Raw genomic sequence first — 22,551 nt, 5'->3', positions numbered from 1 at the left:
AGGAGGGCTCTTACGCATTTAGTTTTGTGTTATTGAATTGAGATGTTTATAGGAAGTTTGAATGGAGATATATAGTAGGCATTTGGCTAGAGCGGGGTGGGGTGCTGGTGGTCTCGAGTTCGGGAGAGAAACCTGGGCTGGAATCATCAGCATCCAGGAGAGTGAAGGCAGCATGTAAAGTGATAGAAGAGATGATGGCCAAAATTTGAGCCCTGAAAAATACCAATATTTGGATGACCAGCAGAAAGAAGGCATTCTCAAAAAAGACTAAGAGCCCGGGATGGTGGTTCACGCCTGTAATCCCAGCATTTTGGGAGGCTGTGGTGGGTGGATAACTTGAGTCTAGGAGTTCAAGACTAGCCTGGACAACATGGTGAAACCCCGTCTCTACTAAAAACACAAAAATTAGCCAGGCATGGTGGCACAGGCCTATAATACCAGCTACTCAGGAGGCTGAGGCAGGAGGATCTCTTGAACCTGAGAGGCAGAGTTGCAGTGAGCTGAGATCACCCCATTATATTTCACTCTGGGCGACAGAGAGAGACTCTGTCTCAAAAAAACACACAAACAACCTAAAAAAGACTCGCCAAAGAGGCAGGAGAAAAATAAGGGGAATGTGGTGTCCTGAAACCCTAGGGAGCAGAACATTTCAAGAAGGAAAGAGAGCACAATGTGGTCTAATGTTGCTGCTAAGCATATAAGTTTCAGTGATGCATGTCTATTGGATTTAGCATGGAGGAAGCATTATCAGCCTTGTTGGGGTGTGGTCAGACTCTCAACTGCAGGGGTCATGAAGTGAATGAAAGGGTAAGAGTTACAGATCACCTTTTAGGAGCTGGCCTTTGAAAAATAGGTGACTTTTTCTGAAGAAGAGGATGGATGTAGGGAAGTAGTTGGTAGGGACTTGGGGTTGAGGGAGGAGGTTTTAAGGTTTAAGAGGGCATTAGGATGCTGATTGGGTGTGTCCACTAGAAAGGGAGGCTGCATTCAGCTGAGCAAGTCTCCAAGGCAAGGCAGGAGTGGCATAGTCCAGGGCAGAGATGGGAGGATCAGCCCAAGTAAGACGATGAATCCTCTTCCCTTTTGGCTGGGAGGGAAGACTGAAGAATGGCTCAAGAACAGGATGGGAAGCAAGAGTCAAGAACCCAGGATGATTTGCTGTGTGCTAAGTAGGTGCCAGGCATGGCTACTCACATACATAGACAAAATGTTGCAATCCTCATACTGCAGATGAGGAAAGGGAGGCTTGAAGATGCCAAGTAAGTTTCCCAAAGCCACAGCTGGCAGTGGCAGGGCTGGGATTCGAACACAGAAAGCCACGCTGCAGCACCTGCTCTCTCACCCACACTCTCTGCTGCATCAGGGAGGCAAGGCTAGTGACTGAGGTGAGAACTAGGAAGCTTCAGGAAGCTACGGCAAGAAGTCTGACTCAGGGCTCCTTTCTTTCTCCTTCTGACCCCCTCCCCAATCTGGCTATCTCTACATCATTAAAGTTAACACACTTTGGTCCTTGAAGGACAAATAGTGCGTGTGTTTTGAGCATGTGAATACCTGACACCCCTTTTCCATTGTCTGTACTATTCATTGTCTCTGCGAGTCACTCTGTGTAGTAGTCAATGTTTTTCAGACTAGAATTTTCAAATAAATTTTAGGGGAGCTATGCCCTTTCTCCAGAAATTTAAATTTCCCATTTATTTTGATTTTAAGAAAATCTTAGAACATCTTAATATTTATAATTGTGTCGGCACAAAGAATAGAACTATGTTGATTGGTTTGGGTTAATAAGAAAAGCTCAGAGGCTCAGGATGTAAATAGTAAATCCATACACCAAGTGAAAGGCAAATAACCTCACTTTGCAAATATTTAGTACTAGGTGCTAGGGGAGAAAATGGTACAGGAAGAATCTAGAATATCAATCATACTTTCAGGGTGCTTGCATTCTATTTGAGAAAATTAGACTAATAAAGAAAACCAGTTGGCATTTGTAGGGCTTAAGTGGGTGGGGCTTTTGCTAGAGCTCTATGGCAAAAATTAGAAAGAAGAATGTGGCTTAGGCTTGGGGTCCAATGGTACATCTTATTCCACTGAAAACCCTCTATCCTACCACCAAATTGAATATTGAAAATAGTATGTTCAGCTGAGCCTGTGGGAAAAGAGAGGAAGGCAACTGGGTCTGTAGTCCCAGCTATATTCCTATCTCAGAAGAGGTGAAGAGGAGAAGGCCATAGCTGAGACCCAGATCATGGAGGAAAGGGAGCATTGACTGGGCCTCTAACAACAGCTATCCTGTCCTTTCCTGTTTGTGGCCTTATGAATGTCTTTCAATCTGACCAGAGCTGCAACTCCTTCTTTCTTGGAGGGAGCAGAGCTGGAAAGTTGGGCAGAGGAGGATCTTATGAGGGAAAAGGGGCTGTAGAGTCCCCAACCCCCACATGTTTGATGAGGCACCAATATCTATGTGTTGCTGTTAGAGGAACGAGGCCATGTTAGAGTCAGCATGAGAATCTTCTTCATAGTGCAGCTTGTATTGCTCAGCTTAAGAAGAGAACTCAGTTTATTTCCCCAGGGGGGATTAGGCTGAGAAATCAATTGACATGCAGAAATCCCACGAGGGACCAGTGCATAAGCTGGAGTGATGATGTATTAATTGGCAATGGGAGAATGTGACTGGTGTCAATTCTCCACACCAGACACACTCTTCTGTATGTTTGTTCACTCAGGAGATTATGTCACAGGTTCGAAGGTTCCCAGTGAGTCCCATAGTTCAGTGGAGGAGTTTAATATTCTTGAGTGATAACTTGATGAATCACTCTTCTTTAGTGTCTGTGGTAGGAGTCAGCACTGATTACCTAGACCTAGAGTAACAGTCTTGTGGACAATCAAATTACTGTAAATTCCTCTTTTTCTAGACTTGTGCAGATTAGCAGAAGTGTTGTTACATGTATGTAAGGCAACTTGTTGTGGTTAGTTTATAGATCATCTGGCAAGAGTTCTTGTTTAGATTGACCCATTGCAGAGAACATTTTTGGGTGGCACCTTAGTCTTATGTTACAAGTCATCTCTAATTGTGGGTAGCATTCTAGGATGATTTCCATTGATGGCCAGTGCAATAATTCTGTGTTGACTTTTATTAATTTCAATTTCTTAGCACTCTATCTTCTTTCCTGGTATGATAATTCTGGGTATGCGGGTATGCCCTGTATTTGAAGCTTAGCAGCTCAATGTTCTGAGCACAGTTTAGAGTGGAATAGAAGAAAGGCAATGAAATAACATCACAAAGTATGGTGCTAGAAATTCCAAGCTATCTGGTGAGGTGAAACAACCCCTATTTTACACCTCAGGAAGTTGAGTTCAGGGAGGATCAGGAAGGCTGCCCAAGGACACATGGCTGGGAGTGGAGGATCTCAAGAGTCCAGCCTAGGTCTGTGTCCAATGGGAGCACTTTGGGAATTAAAAATTTTGTTCTTCCAGTTGAAGGGTTTCATGTATGAGGCAAAGCTTTAGCTGAACCCTGAAGGGGAGGTAGGAGTGGGAAGAGAAGAAAGTTTTGATTTAGTGAACAAGTCTGGATTGCCTTTGCTAACCCACCTCTTGGTTTTTGCATTCAATTCTGGCTACTACACTTTTCAAAGAATATAAACAAACTGGGGATTATTTAAAGCAATGGTTCTCAGCCTTTAATCCACCATGGATCCTGTGATTGATTACATTTCCAGAGCAATGTATTCTACCTGGGAACTTTGTATTGCTTTTCAGAGTATGGCATAAAATAATGCAGAAAGTAAGTTATCCTTAATTGTAGGTGCAGTTGCTGTAGTAATTTACCCTTTGTTGATCAAAAGAATGATTGTGTTACAAAATCATGGATAAAATCTATAGATACGAGATTAGAAACCAGGATGGTAGTAAAACCAAAATCATGTTGTTAAAAAAGAAAAACCTTAGTCAAATTAAATTTAACAGAGTTTAATTGAGCAAAGAACGATTCGTGAATCAGGCAGCCTCCTAGCCAGAGTAGGCTAAGAGACTCTGGCACAACCATGTTGTGGAAGAAGATTTATAGACAGGAAAAGAAAGGCTAGGGGTGGTGGCTCATGTCTGTAATCCTAACACTTTGGGAGGCTGAGGTGGGTGGACTGCCTGAGCTAGGGAGCTCGAGACCAGCCTGGGCAACATGGTAAAATCCCATCTCTACTAAAATACAAAAAATTAGCCAGGCGTGGTGGCATACACCTGTAGTCACAGCTACTCAGGTACTCAGGGAGGCTGAGGCAGGGGAATCGCTTGACCCAGGAGGTAGAGGTTGCAATAAGCCGAGATCGCACCACTGCACTCCAGCCTGGGTGACAGAACAAAAGTGTCTCAAAAAAAAAACAAACAAACAAAAAAAACAAAAACAAAAAGGAAAAAGGAAGAAAGAAAAGTGATGTACAGAAAATGGAAGTGAGGTAGAGAAATAGCTAGATTGCTGACAGCTCGGAGTTTGCTTTTATGAACAGTTGGCCTCCCTGATTGGCTTAAACGTGGTGATTGCACAAGAGTAGGTTACAGTCTGTTTACACCTCCATTTAGGTTATAGTTCACTATGTAACAGAGAAACCTTTAGGCTGAACTTAAAATTCGTAAGAAGGCAGCTTTGGGCTAAATTTGATTTTACAATGTTCAACGAGGAATGACTCAAGGCATTTTTGGAAGAGAGTATTCAGGACATGGCAGGGGATTTCCAATATTTGGAGAACCATTGTATGAAGGCATTACATACAATGTAAAAAAACTAATGTTTTTTTCAAAGATTTTTTTTCCAAGGGGTATAGCCAAGATCGTGGATTAAAGCTATATGACAAAAACACTGAGTAAAATAAGGAATATATGCTAAGGTGATGTGAGAAGATGAAATAAACTCTCAGAAGGTGTGAGCTCCCCACTGGAAAGCTGGGGCGATTTGGCTGGGGCTGTTTGAGTAAGAGCTGGACAAACTACCTGCTACAGATGTTGCTGTGGAGAATTGAGCTCTGGAGAGGGGATAGACCAGATGTGAAACACATCTGGTTTTCAGGCTACAACTCATTTCAGGCCAGGCACAGTGGCTCTATGCCTGTAATCCCAGCACTTTGGGAGGCCAAGGCTGGAAGATCACTTGAGGTCAGGAGTTCGAGACCAGCCTGGCCAACCTGGTGAAACTCCATCTCTACTACAAATACAAAAATTAGCCGGGCATGGTGATGTGCGCCTGTAATCCCAGTTACTGGGGAGGCTGAGGCAGGAGAATCACTTGAGCCCAGGAGGTGGAGGTTGCAGGGAGGCGGAGGTTGCAGTGAGCCAAGATCACGCCACTGCACTCCAGCCTGGACAACAGAGCGAGATTCTGTCTCAGCCAAAACAAAACAAAACAAAACTTCATTTTAACTCTGAATTTCTTTTTTTAATTTTTAATTTTTGTGGGTACATAATAGGCGTATATATTAATGGGTTACATGAGATGTTCTGCAGCATGTAATAATCACATCACGGAAGATGAAGTATCCATCCTGTCAAGCATTTATCCTTTGTGTTACAAACAATCCAGCTATATTCTTCCAGTTATTTTAAAATATACAATTGAATTATTATTGACTACAGTCACCCTTTTATGCTATCAAATGCTAGGCCTTATTCATTCATTCTAACTATATTTTTAGACCCATTATAACTCTGAATTTCTAAAATTAATAATTTTTATAACTGTTGACTTCACAGTATGTCTCAAACACCAGATTATTAATAATCTGATTAATAACCAACAAATACAGTTTTTAGATCTTGGGCTTGTAGAAATCCAGCTATGCATTTTATCATCAAAACTCCAAAGCTGAGAAGGTCCTGGCTTCTAAAGAGATTACAAAGTTGATTGTAGATTATTGATTGTGTTTGGAAAAGTATCCTTGGAAAGGAAAGTTTTTCAGGAGCCACTGCATTAGAATAAAGGAGTCCTTGACAATAAAAGGGATTTAAGAATAAAGGAGTCCTTTGTCAAGAGTTTATTTTTAACCCCAATACCAAGCTTATGATAACTGATTATTAAAGTGAGTTTGTCATCTACTTGCTGTCTAAAAGCTTTAGTGTATAAAAGCCATGGGAATGTATACGATTACCTCCAGAAAGAGAATAGGGAAGGAAAGAGCCAAGTTATCCAAGGTTATCTCTCTCTCTGTAGCGTTCTCTGTTTATGTGTAATTTTGTGCATTTGTATTAAACCTGCATTTGTTTTACGTGACCTCTGGCTTTCAAATGTTTGTAGAATACAAAGTATTCTTAACCTCAGATGTTATAATGGGCATCATAGTAAATATATTTTTATCAGATGGCTTTTTCTATAAATCCACTAGAAAGTAGTAAGCCCATTCCAATTACTCTTTGGAACCAAGGCAGTGTATACGTATTGAGGTTTTGCCGCAGCAGAGCAATTTTTGGTTAAATATTAGGGTTAAAAGAGGAGCTGTGGGGAAGGTCCCGGGTTTTGATGGCTGATGGCTGATGATCACTGAGAAAATTGCTTAGCAGCATAGATAATCGTATTAGAAGAGAAAGAATTTAACAATGATTTTTCATTTCTAACACTACTTCAGTCTTTCATCTCTATATTCCAAGCACTAAATAGAGTACCTAGAACACAGCAGGCATTCAGCAAATGTTTTGGGATGAATGACTTTTATGAAAAATCAAAAGAAAACTACTCTAAACTTCAGTTATTTCTCTTCCTGAGACAAGTCTATGTGACTGATGGAAAAGTGAAAATTCCAGTCATCATCAGTTGTTAAATAGTTAGGCTGCCAAATCATCTGTTTGACTGATGTTTACTCCCTTTGAGTTGACTGACTGCTTTGGCTCAGAGTTGACACAGCATGAGTCATAAGTTTCAGTTCTTGTCAGCTGATGGTTGCATTTCCATGCATAACCAGTGTGACTTATGTTGGTCATATCAGGCACAAATATAAATCACGACTGTCCAATCGTTGGTACTTGGGCCTTTTCTGACTGGAATGATTTCTTGGTCATTCTGTTGGTTAGTGACACTGAATACTCACTGATGGAACAGCATTGGCCAACTGATGGCAGAAGTTTCCTTCCTGAAAAGATCTTAAAATAGCACGCAATATAGAATTAGCCAGTGAATGCGAGTTCTCCTAAGTGTGAATGCAATTCTAGAACATGATGGAGAGTGATTCTCCACTGGTAAAATTTGGGAAAAGCAGGATATATATATATAAATTTTACTTTAAGTTCTGGGATACATGTGGAGAATGTGCAGGTTTGTTACATAGGTATACATGTGCCATGGTGGTTTGCTGCACCTATCAATGTGTCATCTATGTTAGGTACTTCTCCTAATGCTATCCCACCCCTTGCCCCCCCACCCCCTGACAGGCCCTGGTGTGTGATGTGCCCCTCCCTGTGCCCATGTGTTCTTAATAGACATAAACATATTTTTTAGGTTTCTAGTTGTGGTGGACAAACTTTAAGGTGGTCTCCATGATTCCTGCCCCTTGGTGTTTATGCTTTTGTATATTCACTCCCCTTGGGTGTGGGCAGGACCCCTGACTTATTTCTAGGCCACAGAGTATGGAGACGGTGATGCAATACTACTCTTGTGATTATATTTCATTTTAGAAGACTCTGCCTTGCTAGCAGAATTGCTCTACAGTTTTTCTCTCCTTTCTGGCTTTGGAGACACAAGATGCCGTGAGTCCTATGCCTGCAAGAAGATGAATTTTGCCAACACCCCAGTGAGCCTGAAAGTGAATCTTTCTCCACATGAGCTTTCAGATGAGAAGTCAGTCCTGGCTGACCTTGACTGCAGCCTTGCACAGGACTCAGCCAAAGCTGTGTCTGGATTCCTGACTCACAGAAACCATGAGACAATAAATGTGTATTGTTCTAAGATGCTAAATTTGTGGTAACTTGTTACACTGTATTAAAGAAGCATACACTAGTGTTCTTAAATAAACATTTGACTATGGTGTTGGTGTTCAGGACATCCACCCAGGAATCTGGATGGAAGATGCCATAGTCTTCTGACTTCCCTGGATTGGCACACATACACATTGAATGCTGACTTTTCCAAAGCAAGGAAGAACAAGAAGAAAGAAAAGAAGTGGGCTCTATATTCCTATTATTAAGTCTAATAATGTGCACGTTTGAATTATTGACCAGGACATTTGTGTTTAAAGGAAATAAAAATATGATTGAATTCCCACACATGGTTAAATCTTGAATTTATGGTCAATGTAGTGAATATTATTAGTTACTTACCATTCTTCCTTCTCTCCCTGCCCTTGCCTGTCTTCTCTGTGGGTAGAATATACCACCCTGCCCCACTAGTTTTGGGTGTGGCCATATGACTTTCTTTGACCAATGGAATGTGGTAAAGTGATAGGTGATCAGTTCTAGGCTGAGGCTTAAGAGGTTTGGTAAATGTTTGCCAGCAATTTTGTGCACCTGTTCTACACCACGAGAAAAGCACACTGAGGTAGCCACAGCTTTTTTGCCTGGATTCCTGAATGAAAAACACATGGAACACACCTGAATTTGATGTACTACTTAAAGCCAAACTGTCCCAGCCAGGATTCAGACCTGTGAATGAGAAGTTAATGTTATAAATGTCTGAGATATGGAAATTGTTTGTTATGTAGACTTATTGCAACAAGAGCTAACTAACACAAAATCCCAAATCACTGAATTATTTCATATAAGTGAAGCCAGCAAAAATTTAAGATTTTATCCCTTACCACAGACATATATGTAAATGAATTTATTCTTCCCTCCTGCAGCAGTGTATTTGGTCTTTATTTGGAAAGCGCCTTCTAGAGGAAGTTTCCTGATCCTGTTCTGTTGAATACTAATGTTATTCAATATATTCACAGGTGTTCTGTGAAATGAGGATTTTATATTCATGTCAATGAAAAGTAGGCTGACATATGTATTACTTCTGAGAATCCCTGCCTTGAAAGAAAGGAGTCTATTGAATGTAATTAAACCCAATATTTTTTCCATTCTTATTTGACCATTGATATGGTTAGGCTTTGTGTCCACACCCAAATCACATCTTGAGTTGTAATACCCACAACCCCCATAATCCCCACGTGTCAAGGGAGAGACCAGGTGTAGGTAATTGAATCATGGGGCCAGTTTCCCCATGCTGTTCTCGTGACAGTGAGTTCTCACGAGATCTCATGGTTTTATAAGGAGCTCTTCCCTTCGTCACTCGGCACTTCTTCTTGCCACCTTTTGAAGAAGGTGCTTTGCTTCTCCTTTGCGTCACTCCATGATTGTAAGTTTCCTGAGGCCTCCCCAGCCCTGCTGAACTGTGAGTCAATTAAACCTCTCCTTTATAAATTACTCAATCTTTGGGAAGTTCTTTACAGCAGTATGAAAACGGACTACTACAACCATAGATCCTATCCTCTTTTCTTGTAGAATACTAATTCATATCTTGTTCCTCTGAAGCAAGTTGATACTGCTATTCAGAGGCTTTGTGCTCACCTAACTGGCCTTTCCACCTTACAAGCAGATGCTGTGCAGCATATGTTTTTATTGGTGCCCTCAAAATCTAAGGCTATTAGGCAGATACTGCAGAAGTCACTGATTAGTATGTCTCTCTAGGAAGTATTAGAAAACCTGGGTAAGTAAGATGCCCAGATTAAGGTAGTTAATAAAGGCCTTGTCAGTGCAAGGCTATGGAATCCTCTACTGGGTTTGAGAGTAATTTTCTGGATAGTTAGGCAAGGAAGTCAAAATTTGGGGTAATCAGTCGCACTTGTTCATATTGTAAACTGGTTATTTGCATCCTATGAACAATTGATTCAAATCTAACACAGAATGACTCAATATTTGGTCCAAATTAAGTTCAAACTGGTGATCTGGAGGTCTTACATGTTTTTAAGTCCAGGGGATCACTTGCTAGAAGTCCATATAAGTTGTATGCTCAGATGCATGGAGTTGCTGGTATTTCCTTTTATCAGTGAATGTGCTGGGAGATCAATAATCTTTTTGATTTATGGCTTGAGATGGGGATGTGAACTGCTTGTACTGCAAATAAATTAAAAATGAACAAATATATTACAATACAAAAAAGTTTAAAAATGTTCCCAGACACATTAAACCCCCAATTTGGTGATGGGAAGGGATTTCTCAAACCCCCTTAGGGCTATATCTTCTAACTACAGCTGATAATTCCTGACAATCTAATAGCTGCCCCTTGAAGACACTCAGTTGTCTTTAACAGGAGTTCTGGTTATGTCATATCAGTGATTTGGGAACTGGGTCTGTGCTTTCAGATGAGAATGGCAAGGCAGTTCTAGGGGAGGTGACAGTGACTGGGGAAGACATGAAGATGGCCACCTTAAAAAATGGTTTTGGTGGAGGAATGAGATTAGCATATTAATTAAGGTCTTCACATCCAGTAATGATCTCATTTACTTATATAAACAGATGACAACAACATTGGGATAAATATTGTAAACCTCACTCTTTCGATACATTGAGTGAATTTTGGTAACACACAGGAATAGCTGTTGTAGAGCTCAGGAAGCCAAAGTCAAATGTGTTTCCAGTCTCTGTGCTTGTGCCTGTTTTCATAGGCTGGTCCCTCCTTGTTTGCTCACTTTTTTCTCATCTATAAAATAGGGAACTGTGACGGGGGATGGGGGGGCGCAGGGGGTGGGGGGAACTGGTTATAATGTTTCTTGATAAACCTTTGTAAAGCAATGTGCTTTTGGAAGTAATGGGCTCCATTCATTATTAGCCCAGTTGATTTTCATTTACACTTGGCTCTAACAATTAGCTTGAGCAGGTGTGAAGGTGATGGAGGGGCTGGGACGCCCAGAGGTCAGCCTCGGCTGGATGTGATAAATTAACCATTATTATCAGCAGTGAAAGTGTTTCTTTACGCTTGTCAGGAGCAAACAAAGGGACAACATATCTCACATAAACTCACTGTTCAGAGCTGGGTTTGATGAAGGATAAGAGTTTCCTTTGTGGCCCTATAGGCAGATGGGAGGGAGGCAAAGAGCTCACAGTAGTAGAGGTGGCAGTGCTTGGAAGGGATGTCTTGGTGACAGAGTGGTATGTGGCTGTCCCAGTCTGGGCTGTTTTGCAATGCTCATTTGCAATGCTCACCCATTCCAATAAGAAGCTGCTATCAGCCTCTGCTGGTGATGGGAATCCCACCTGTGTTTGCTTAAGGATTATTAGGGGGTGAAGCGTTTGTATATCAAAAAAGCACAATTATTACAGAGATGTACATTTCTATATACCAGTCAATAGATATTTTCAAACAAGGCCTTAAAATGGAACATGTTTAAAGTCAATGAAAAGAAAAAATGGGGAGTCTTCAGTTCTCCATCTGTACCAGTTTTAGAAGCCTCTAACAGACTTAGAAAGGTGTGGTGGTGTCCACAGAAGGTAACACCAGATCCTATCTACTGTAGATCCAATGGATCTAAATATCTTGATTCTGAAACAGGAAGTACTTTCCCATTTAGTTATACCTTGGCATGGAAAGTCAGTGGGCACACCCAGAGGTGCAACAGTCAAATAAGAAGGGCAGAGCTGATGCTTGCTAATCACTGTCCATAGGTTGAAATCCTGTAGACAACAGTTTGGTTTGACAATGTCAGAGGGACTGAAAACTTCTATCAACCCCAAATTCACATGTTGAAGCCCTAACCCCTTAATGTGACTGTGTTTGGAGATGGAGCCTATAAGGAAGTAGTCAAGGTTAAATAAGGTCAAGCGGAGGGGGCTGATCCTTATAAGAAGAGGTATCAGAGCTCGTGCATGCTGTCACTCTCTCTCCCCCTCACTACCCATAAGCACCAAGGAAAGGACATGTGTGCCCATGGTGAGATGGCGACCATCTGCAAGCCAGAAACTGAATTTCCTGGCACTTTGATCATGAACTTCCCAGCTTCCAGAGCTGTGAGAAAATAAATATCTGTTTAAGCCACCCAATCTGTAGTATTTTGTTATGACAGCTTGAGCAGACGAAGAGACTAAAAATCTGTTTGGAATATGGGAGCACATGAGTGGGACTTGAGTGTTTTATTTTAGAGTAATTAGGCTGAGACTTCAGTGAGGAACCCCTCAATACAGTGTGCATTAGTTTTTGCTCTTGGACTGATAAGACCTCCATGAAAGAATCTTTCAGTCTTCTGCGTAGGTAAGACTGCCTGGCTGCTAGGGTTCCCTAAGCTAAGTGGGGCAAGGCTAGCGGGAGGGACTCAGTTTCACATGTTCTCCCTGTTTGTGAATGGTACCTCCACCGTCAACTGTACCTAGTAGTTTTTACTTGAAATACTCTTTGCTTTACCTTCATGAGACAAAAAACAAAACAAAAACCTTTCAATCCTGTGTTGGAGTAGGGGTTGTGCCATGCCTGGATCTGGGAGTCTAACTATGACTTAAACAGCCCTTAACATTTTCTCCATTTGGGGCCAGGCATGGTGGCTTACGCCTGTAATCCCAAAACTTTGGGAGGCCGAGGTGGGCGGATCACAAGGTCAAGAGATTGAGACCATCCTGGCCAACATGGTGAAACCCTGTCTCTACTAAAAATACAAAAATTAGCCAGGTGTGGTGACGTATGCCTGTAGTCCCAGCTACTTGGGAGGCTGAGGCAGGAGAATCACTTGAACCTGGGAGGCAGGGGTTGCAATGAGCCGAGATCACGCCACTGCACTCTAGCCTGGTGACAGAGCGAGACTATCTAAAAAAAAAAAAAAAAATTTCTCTATTTGGATTTTTCTTTGGTACAACATGAAGTATAGATTCAACTTAATTTTTTCCAGGCTGCCCTGTTTTCTCATCACCAGTTTTTGAACAGTTCATTTTTCCCACTGATCTGGAATCAGATAAAAGGGTAAAAGGAAAACAGAAGACAAAAGAAAAAACTATATGCAGTAGCAACCAAAAGATAAAATACATGGGAATAAATTTAATAAAAGTAAAAGTCCATATATAAAGAAAATTTGAAAACATTCCCGAAGACCTTAAAATAATTGAAAAAAATGGGAAAAGGCCTATCCTGTTCTTGTCAAAAATGACTCGACATCATAATGATGTCAATCTTCTCTAAGTTAATTTATACATTAAGACAGGACCTCAAAAATACCAGAAAGATTATTTATTTCTCTTGAAAACCAGGCAAAATTAGTTGTATGTAGTTACATGCAACATATAGGAAAATTTTTTCTCTAAGAGCTAGAAAGATCTTTGAAGAAGAACAAAAATTCGGAGAAATAGATGTTGCAGCTATTGTATGTTATACAGCATTAGCTATTGTTAGTGTATTGTTAGTACATGTCAGAGAAATGAAAGAACAAAAAGTCTAGAAATCTAAAATACGCACAATTTTAATATATGAAAGGGTGGCAATGCAAATCAGTGGGAAAAATGAACTATTTAAAAACTGGTGATGTGAGACAAAGGACAGCCTGGAAAAAATTAAGTTGAATTCATACTTCGCACTGTATACAAAGAAAAATCCAAATGGAGAAAAATTTTAATATAAATAAATGAATACATTGAATTAAAGAAGAAAGCATGAAAGAATGCTTTTAAATCTCAAAATAAGAAAGGGTTTGTAAACTATGACTTAAAGTCTAGAAGTCTTAAAGATGAATAGATTCAAGTATGTGTGTTTATATTACATGCATATCTGTAAGTTTTTTTTTACATAGTAAAAATCAAACACAGCCAGGTATGTAATTCCGGCACTTTGGGAGGCTGACGTGGGCAGATTACCTGAAGTCAGGAGTTCAAGACCAGCCTGGCCACCATGGTGAAACCCTGTCTCTACTAAAAATACGAAAATTAGCCGGGTGTGGTAGCATGCACGTATATTCCCAGCTACTCAAGAGGCTGAGGCACAAGAATCGCTTGAACCCGGGAGGCAGAAGTTGGAGTGAGCCGAGATTGTGCCATTGTACTCCAGCCTAGGTCACAGAGCAAGACTCTGTCTCCTCCCACTCCCCCCAAAAAGCAATATCAAAAGAAAGATGATAAATTGGGAAAAATATTTTAAGCTCCTATTGCAAAGAACTATCTTCTTTAGAATATAAAGAGATCCTAAATGTCAATAACAAAATACTTATTAGAAAGTTTACCAAAAGGAGCCACAGATAAAACTTAAATACATGCAAAGATGCTCCACCTTGCACATAATAGAAGAGACAGGTAAATTAAAACTGCACTGTAGTAATCTTTTTTTTTTTTTTTTTTTTTTTTACCACTTAGGCAAAGGCTAAAAGTTTGCTAACACGTCCTGGGCAAGGATGTAGAGAAATGATCACTTTCATAAATTGCTTGTGGGAGTATAAATTGGTGAAAATCCTCTGGAGGGCAATTTGGCAATGGAATGACAATTAAAAATATTCCCTTTTATGCAGCACTTCAACATCTAGCAATTTACCTTATAGATATACCTATGCATTTGTATAATTTATGTAATAGATAACTTATTGCAGAGTTGTTTGTCAGAAGATTGGAAAACTTGGACATCTATCCATAGGGGACTGCTTAATACTTATGATAACTTCCTACAAAACAATACTATGCAACTGTAAAAAAGAATGAGAATGTCGTTCTCATTCTACTAGTAAATACTTTCACAAGTAGTGTAAGTGCCATATAACATATCGTTTATATTAGGATTTTAAAAGATCTCTAAGATATGTTTCACTGTTAGGTAATAAAAGGAAGGTGAATAATAGCATAATATTTTGGATAAAATAGAGGAAGGAAATCATATACTGTGCTTGTATATATATATTTAAAGTCTCTGGAAGGATAAACCAGAAACTAACAATAGTGGTTGTTCGTTGGAGAAGGATGGGAACTGTGTAGATGGGTATATGGATGGCAGGGAGGCTTTTCAGACTATGCACTTTAGTGCTCTTTGATATTTGAACCACCTGACTATTTTACCTACTAAAACCAATAAATGAATAATTTTTTAAATCTAAATATGAGTGTAAGAACTTAAGTAAAACTTGCATGTTTGAAATGGCACCCCAAAAATGAGTACAACAGGATTATAACAGGAATCCAAAGAGCTGAGCTCTTTGGAATTTGTGTTGCACTGAACTTTTGAAAAAAATACCACATATGCAAGATATGTAATCCAGGAGTTCAGTCACTAAATGCTGTTCCAAGCTATGATACCTGAATCAGTGGATTTTAAACCCCCTATACCTGCATTCGTGGTTCTATGGTGATGATTAATGATGTTTTGCTTTATAAGCTGTAGGCCCTATGAGATGCTTACATAAGAAGAAAAGATGCAATTTTTTTCATTTGTCTTAAATTTACAAGTGGTTTTGTTTTTGTTTTTAATAGGCTTAAATATGCCAGGGGTGCTTTTCTGGATTGGTTGGTTGATTGACTGATTTCACTGAATATAATCAGACCACTGGGTTTGTGTTGTGCTTTAGTTCACAGTATGCACTAAAATACTTAAACCATCCAAAAGTATTTTACTTAATTTTTCATTCATTAAAAAATATAATTAAACAGGTTAATCAATTTCCAATCACAATATTTTTCTCACATCAAAGTAATAAATGTTTATTGTACAAAGTTGAGAAAATTTAGAAAAGAAGAAAAAATTATACAGAAATAATCTTGATAGCTTTTTGATGTCTTTTTCTCATCTGTATTATAGGTTAAAAAATTGTTCCTACTTTTTTTGATCAGTTTTTCATATAAGATTTTACATAACAGCATTTCCAATGTTAATTACATTCTTGAACATGATTTTTAATAACTCTTGTGTATTGCACTATTTGGATGTCCCATCATTTATTTAATCCTGTAGTCTTGGACATCTAAGGACAACCTATTTCTGAAGCACTTTGTTTAATTGGAGTTTTCCTATATCTTACTTAATGATGAATTTAGTTGGCTTTGCTTAAAATGCTCTGTAGAATTGTCACACTGGCTGCCTGAGAAGGATGTGATCCTTGGTCTTGTCCTGAGTGGATCCAATCCCAAAGGCCAGCTTTGAAACAGGTGTATTTTATGATCCAAAATGTGGTCATCTTTTTGTATGCTCTAGGTTGAGACTATATATTCTGTTGTTAGATAAACTATCCTCTAAATGTCAATTCATATTGATGGTGCTATTCTGTTCACTCTATCTTTACTAATTTTCTACATGCTGGATCTGTCAATTATAGAGACAGGTGTGATGAAGTCTTCAATTATAATAATGGGTTTCCCTATATTTTCCTGCAGTTTTATCAGTTTTTGTCTCACCTATTTTGACATTTTCTTGTTAGGTGCATATAAGCACCGTGTATCTTGTTGCAGAACTGATCGCTTTGACATTATGAAATACCCTTCATCCTGATAATTTTCTTGCTCTGAAGTCTGCTTTCTGAAATTAATATAGCCACTATAGCTTCTTTTGATTAGTTCTAACATGGCATATCTCTTTCCATCCCTTTACTTTTACCCTATCTGTGTCTTTATATTTACAGTGGATTTCTCATAGATAGCATACAGTTGGGTCTTGTTTTTCAGCCACATTGACAGTCTCTGTCTTTTAACTGGTTTATTTAGACCATTCATTCTTAAAACTATTATTGATATAGTTGGGTTAGTATCTACCATTTTTGTAATTGCTTTATATTTGTTCTTTGCTTCTTTTTTCTTATTGCCTTGGTTTTAATGGAGCATTTTATTATTCCATTGCTCTCCTTTTTTTAGCATATTGATTATAAGTCTTAACATTTTTTAGTGGTTGCTCTAGCATTTGTGATGTTTATTTACATAATCTAAGTCTACTTTCAAATAATACTATACCATTTCACAAGTAGTGTAAGTGCCATATAACAAAATATTCCCAATTTCTTCCTCCCATCTCTTTATACCATTAATGTCATCCATTTTACTTGTCCATAAGCTATAATTATTAAATATATTGCTATTATTTGGACAGTTATCTGTTAGGCCAGTTAAGAATAAGAAAAACAACACATTTTATTTTACCTTCATTAGTTCCTTTTCTAATGTTCTTTCTTTTGCTTTATGTAGATTCAAACTTCTGATCTATATAATTTTCCTTCTTTCTAAATAATTCCTTTTAACACTTCTTGCAGGTCTACTGGCAACAAATTCCCTCTTTTTTTGTTCTGAGAAAGTCTTTATTTCTTATTCACCTTTGATGGATTATTTCACTGGGTATGGAATTCTAGATTGGTGGAGTTTTTTTCAACAGTTTAAATATTTCACTCCATTCTTTTCTTGTTTACATGGTTTCTAAAGTTCATTGAAATTATTCTCCTTGTTCCTCTATAGGTAAGGTAATGCTTTTCCTCTGGCTTCTTTCATAATTTTCTGTTTGTATTTGGTTATATGTGGTTTGTAAATTTTTTGATATTAAATATCATTGGCATTCTTTGGGCTTCTTGGATCTGTGGTTTCAAGCCTGTCATTAATTTCAGAATAGTCTCAGCCATTATTATTCACATATATCAAATCCTTTTCTGTCTTCCTTTTCCTTCTAGCATTCTCATTATGCATATTTATACCTTTTTCAATTTTCCCACAGTTCTTGGGTATTCTGTTCATTTCTCCCCCTATTCTTTTTTCTCTTTGGTTTTCAGTTTGGGAAATTTCTATGGAAATATCTTTAAGCTTACTGCTTCTTTCTCAGCCTGACCCAGTTTATGGGTCAGGGCACCAAGCAAGGATGAGTTCATCAAAGGCATCCTTCATTTCTGGTTTAGTGTTCTTGATTTTTAGTGTTTCCTTTGATTCTTACTTAGTGTTCCCATCTCTCTGCTTATATTACCCATCTGTTCTTGCATGTTGTCCACTTTTTTCATTAGAGCTCTTGGTGTATTAATCAGTTATTTTAAATTCCCATTTGATAATTCTAATACCTGTCATACCTGAGTATGGTTCTGACACTTGCTTTGTCTTTTCAGACTGTTTTTTCCAGTCATTAGCATGCCTTATAATTTTTTTGTTGAAAGCCAGAAATGATGTATCAGTTCATGGGAACTGAGGTAAATAGGCTATTAGGGCGAGGTTTTATGTTTATCTACTTTTTCTTAGATGGAGTCTGTATCTTGCAGCTCTCTCAGTTGTAATCCACTGTCACTGTACTAGAGCCCTGTTGATGTGGCGATAAGTATCAGGGAGTTGAAGCATTCTATAATATGATTAAATTTCAGGGTTTTTTAAAGTGGGTCTGAGTCTTTTCAGGAGAGTGTCTTAGTCTTTTTTTTGTCCCCTGATGTGAAATAGGACAGAAAGGGCTCAAGTTGTCTAATTGCCATTCTCCTAGGTCGGATAAGAGTCTGGTAAAGAAATTTCTCTTGAGGGCAGGATTTTATTACAGAGAAAGGAATGCTCAGTTAACAAATTATAATGGTTACTCCTCCAACCCCAGGTTTATTTCAAAATTGTTATTTCCTTATCTCCCTGCTGGATGCCAGACATTTTTCTCGCATCTTCAGTGTGAGAATCTGATGGGGCTTTTGGAGGTGAAACTCATGAAAGTGTTGGAGTATCCCTATGAGTGGGCCCCCAGGAGTTTTTAACTCTCAAGCCAGATCTTGCTCCACCTCCAGCAATTCGTCTATTAGCATCCAAGTGTTCTTCCCAGTTACTACTTCCTGTGACCTCTGTTTCTGGTCATCTGTGATTCCGTATATTCTCCTGTTTCTCCAGTTTTGGGGATGGTGGTTTGCCCTCTTTGCTCAATTCTGTGATGGATCAAAAGAGTTTTGACATTCAGAGTGTCCGGCTTTTCTCTTGTGAGGACAGAGTGGTGATTTCTGAGTTCTTTAAATGTTGGAGTGGAAAACTGTCTTTTGAGAAAACAATAACAACAACAAAACCCAAAAAACAACCAAAAACCACCTTTCCTGGACTTAATCTGTGGAATCTCTCTCCTTGTGGTATGCATGCTGCCAGTGATAGCTATGCTTTGATTTCTTTCAATCCTTCTTATTTTTAAGTCTGGCCTTCTAGTGGGTGCCTGTGGGTCTGTATATGGCTAACCAGTGATTGGTCAGAAAATTTGCGCAAAACCTAGGCTTCCTTTCCCTGCCAGTTGATCCATGCATGGGATGGGGAGCACATTCAATGTTAATGCTGTTTCCAGGTTGGCCTCAGTGTTCACTCTTTTTCTTTTTCTTTTTTTATTATACTTTAAGTTTTAGGGTACATGTGCACAAAGTGCAGGTATGTTACACAGGTATACCTGTGCCATGTTGGTGTGTTGCACCCATTAACTCGTCATTTACATTAGGTATTTCTCTCAATGCTATCCCTCCCCCAGCCCCCCACCCCACAACTAGCCCTGGTGTGTGATGTTCTCCACCCTATGTCCATGTGTTCTCATTGTTCAACTCCCACCTGTGAGTGAGAACATGCAGTGTTTGGTTTTCTGTCCTTGTGATAGTTTGCTTAGAATGATGGTTTCCAGCTTTATCCATGTCCCTGCAAAGGACATGAACTCATCGTTTTTTATGGCTGCATAGTATTCCATGGTGTATATGTGCCACATTTTCTGAATCCGGTCTATCATTGATGGCCATTTGGGTTGGTTCCAAGTCTTTGCTATTGTAAATAGTGCCACAATAAACATATGTGTGCATGTGTCTTTATTGTAGAATGATTTGTAATCCTTTGGGTATATGCCCAGTAATGGGATTACTGGATCAAATGGTATTTCTAGTTCTAGATCCTTGAGGAATCACCACACTGTCTTCCACAATGGTTGAAATAATTTACACTCCCACCAGCAGTGTAAAAGTGTTCCTATTTCTCCACCTCCTCACCAGCATCTGTTGTTTCCTGACTTTTTAATGATTGCCATTCTAACTGGCGTGAGATGGTATCCCATGGTGGTTTTGATTTGCATTTCTGTGACCAGTGATGATGAGCATTTTTTTGTGTCTGTTGGCTGCACAGATGTCTTCTTTTGAGAAGTGTCTGTTCATATCCTTTGCCCACTTTTTCATGGGTTTTTTTTTTCTTGTAAATGTGTTTAAGTTCTTTGTAGATTCTGGATATTAGCCCTTTGTCAGATGGGTAGATTACAAAAATTTTCTCCCATTCTGTAGGTTGCCTGTTCACTCTGATGATAGTTTCTTTTGCTGTACCAAGGCTTTTTTGTTTAATTAGGTTCCATTTGTCAAATTTGGCTTTTGTTGCCATTGCTTTTGGTGTTTTAGTTATGAAGTCTTTGCCCATGCCTATGTCCTGAATGGTATTGCCTAGGTTTTCTTCTAGGGTTTTTATGGTGTTAGGTCTAACATTTAAGTCTTTAATCCACCTTGAGTTAATTTTTGTATAGGGTGTAAGGAAAGGATCCATTTTCAGCTTTCTACATATGGCTAGCCAGTTTTCCCAGCACCATTTATTAAATAGGAAATCCTTTCCCTATTGCTTGTTATTGTCAGGTTTGTCAAAGATCAGATGGTTGTAGATGTGTGGTGTTATTTCTGAGGCCTCTGTTCTATTCCATTGGTCTATATATCTGTTTTGATACTAGTACCATGCTGTTTTGGTTACTGTAGCCTTGTAGTATAGTTTGAAGTCAGGTAGTGTGATACCTCCAGGTTTGTTCTTTTTGCGTAGGATTGTCTTGGCTATGCAGGCTCTTTTTTGGTTCCATATGAACTTTAAAGTAGTTTTTTCCAATTCTGTGAAGAAAGTCATTGGTAGCTTGAAGGGGATAGCATTGAATCTATAAATGACTTTGGGCAGTATGGCCATTTTCACGATACTGATTATTCCCATCCATGAGCATGGAATGTTCTTCTATTTGTTTTTGTCCTCTTTTATTTCATTGAGCAGTGGTTTGTAGTTCTCCTTGAAGAGGTCCTTCTCATCCCTTGTAAGTTGGATTCCTAGGTATTTTATTCTCTTTGTAGTAATTGTGAATGGGAGTTGACTCATGATTTGGCTCTCTGTTTGTCTATTATTGGTGTATAGGAATGCTTGTGATTTTACACATTGATTTTGTATCCTGAGACTTAGCTGAAGTTGCTTATCAGCTTCAGGAGATTTTGGGCTGAGATGATGGGGTTTTCTAAATACACAATCATGTCATCTGCAAACAGGGACAATTTGACTTCCTCTTTTCCTAATTGAATACCCTTTATTTCTTTCTTTTGCCTGATTGCCCTGGCCAGAACTTCCAACACTATATTGAATAGCAGTGGTGAGAGAGGGCATCCCTGTCTTGTGCCGGTTTTCAGAGGGAATGCTTCCAGTTTTTGCCCATTGAGTATGATGTTGGTTGTGGGTTTGTCATAAGTAGTTCTTATTATTTTGAGATACGTTCCATCAATACCTAGTTTATTGAGAGTTTTTAGCATGAAGGCTGTTGAAGTTTGTCAAAGGCCTTTTCTGCATCTATTGAGATAATCATGTGGTTTTTGTCGTTGGTTCTGTTTATGTGATGGATTATGTTTACTGATTTACATATGTTGAACCAGCCTTGCATCCCAGGGGTGAAGCCCACTTGATTGTGGTAGATAAGCTTTTTGATGTGCTGCTGGATTTGGTCTGCCAGTATTTTATTGAGGATTTTTTCATCGATGTTCATCACAGATATTCGTCTAAAATTCTCTTTTTTTGTTGTGTCTCAACCAGGCTTTGGTAACAGGATGATGCTAGCCTCATAAAATGAGTTAGGGAGGATTCCCTCTTTTTCTATTGATTGAAATAATTTCAGAAGGAATGGTACCAGCTCCTCTTTGTACCTCTGGTAGAATTCAGCTGTGAATCCATGTGGTCCTGGACTTTTTTTTGGTTGGTAGGCTATTATTGCCTCAATTTCAGAACCTGTTTTTGGTCTATTCAGAGATTCAACTTCTGCCTGGTTTAGTCTTGGGAGGGTGTATGTGTCCAGGAATTTATCCATTTCTTCTAGATTTTCTAGTTTATTTGCAAAGAGATGTTTATAGTATTCTCTGATGGTAGTTTGTATTCTGTGGGATTGGTGGTGATATCCCCTTTATCATTTTGTATTGCGTCTGTTTGATTCCTCTCTTTTCTAATTTATTAGTCTTGGTAGTGGTCTATTTTGTTGATCTTTTAAAAAAAAAAAAAAACAGCTCCTGGATTCATTGATTTTTTTTTTTTTTTTTTGGAAGGGTTTTTTGTGTCTCTATCTCCTTCAGTTCTGCTCTGATCTTAGTTATTTCTTGCCTTCTGCTAGCTTTTGAATTTGTTTGCTCTTCTCTACTTCTTTTAGTTGTGATGTTAGGGTGTCAATTTTAGATCTTTCCTGCTTTCTCTTGTGGGTATTTAGTGCTATAAATTTCCCTCTACACACCGCTTTAAGTGTGTCCCAGAGATTCTGGTACGTTGTGTCTTTGTTCTCATTGGTTTCAAAGAACATCTTTATTTCTGCCTTCATTTTGTTATTTACCCAGTAGTCATTCAGGAGCAAGTCATTCAGTTTCCATGTAGTTGTGCAGTTTTGAGTGAGTTTCTTAATCCTGAGTTCTAATTTGATTGCATTGTGGTCTGAGAGACAGTTTGCTGTGA

At 39.0% G+C, this 22,551-nt stretch overlaps 1 long non-coding RNA gene across 3 annotated transcripts in view; it reads right to left on the bottom strand.

Annotated features, from left to right (window-relative positions):
• Positions 1-6,350: 6,350 nt before the first annotated feature.
• LOC105370839 (uncharacterized) overlaps positions 6,351-22,551 on the bottom strand; it is an 89,243-nt gene continuing 73,042 nt past the window's right edge. For 2 of the 3 annotated variants that reach the window (XR_932310.3, XR_932311.2), the window contains 3 exons: positions 9,910-10,065; positions 8,560-8,610; positions 6,351-7,116 (listed from right to left, as the gene is read on the bottom strand). This is a non-coding gene — a long non-coding RNA (uncharacterized LOC105370839). Of the gene's footprint in view, positions 7,117-8,559; positions 8,611-9,909; positions 10,066-11,525; positions 11,617-22,551 lie in introns of those variants that run through there. The other variant, XR_932313.2, reaches the window with a different exon arrangement.

This window comes from Homo sapiens, chromosome 15, assembly GCF_000001405.40.
Source record: "Homo sapiens chromosome 15, GRCh38.p14 Primary Assembly".
Classification (NCBI taxonomy): domain Eukaryota; kingdom Metazoa; phylum Chordata; class Mammalia; order Primates; family Hominidae; genus Homo; species Homo sapiens.
The sequence above is the reverse complement of the archived record's forward strand: the minus strand, read 5'-3'. Positions and strand labels throughout refer to the sequence as shown.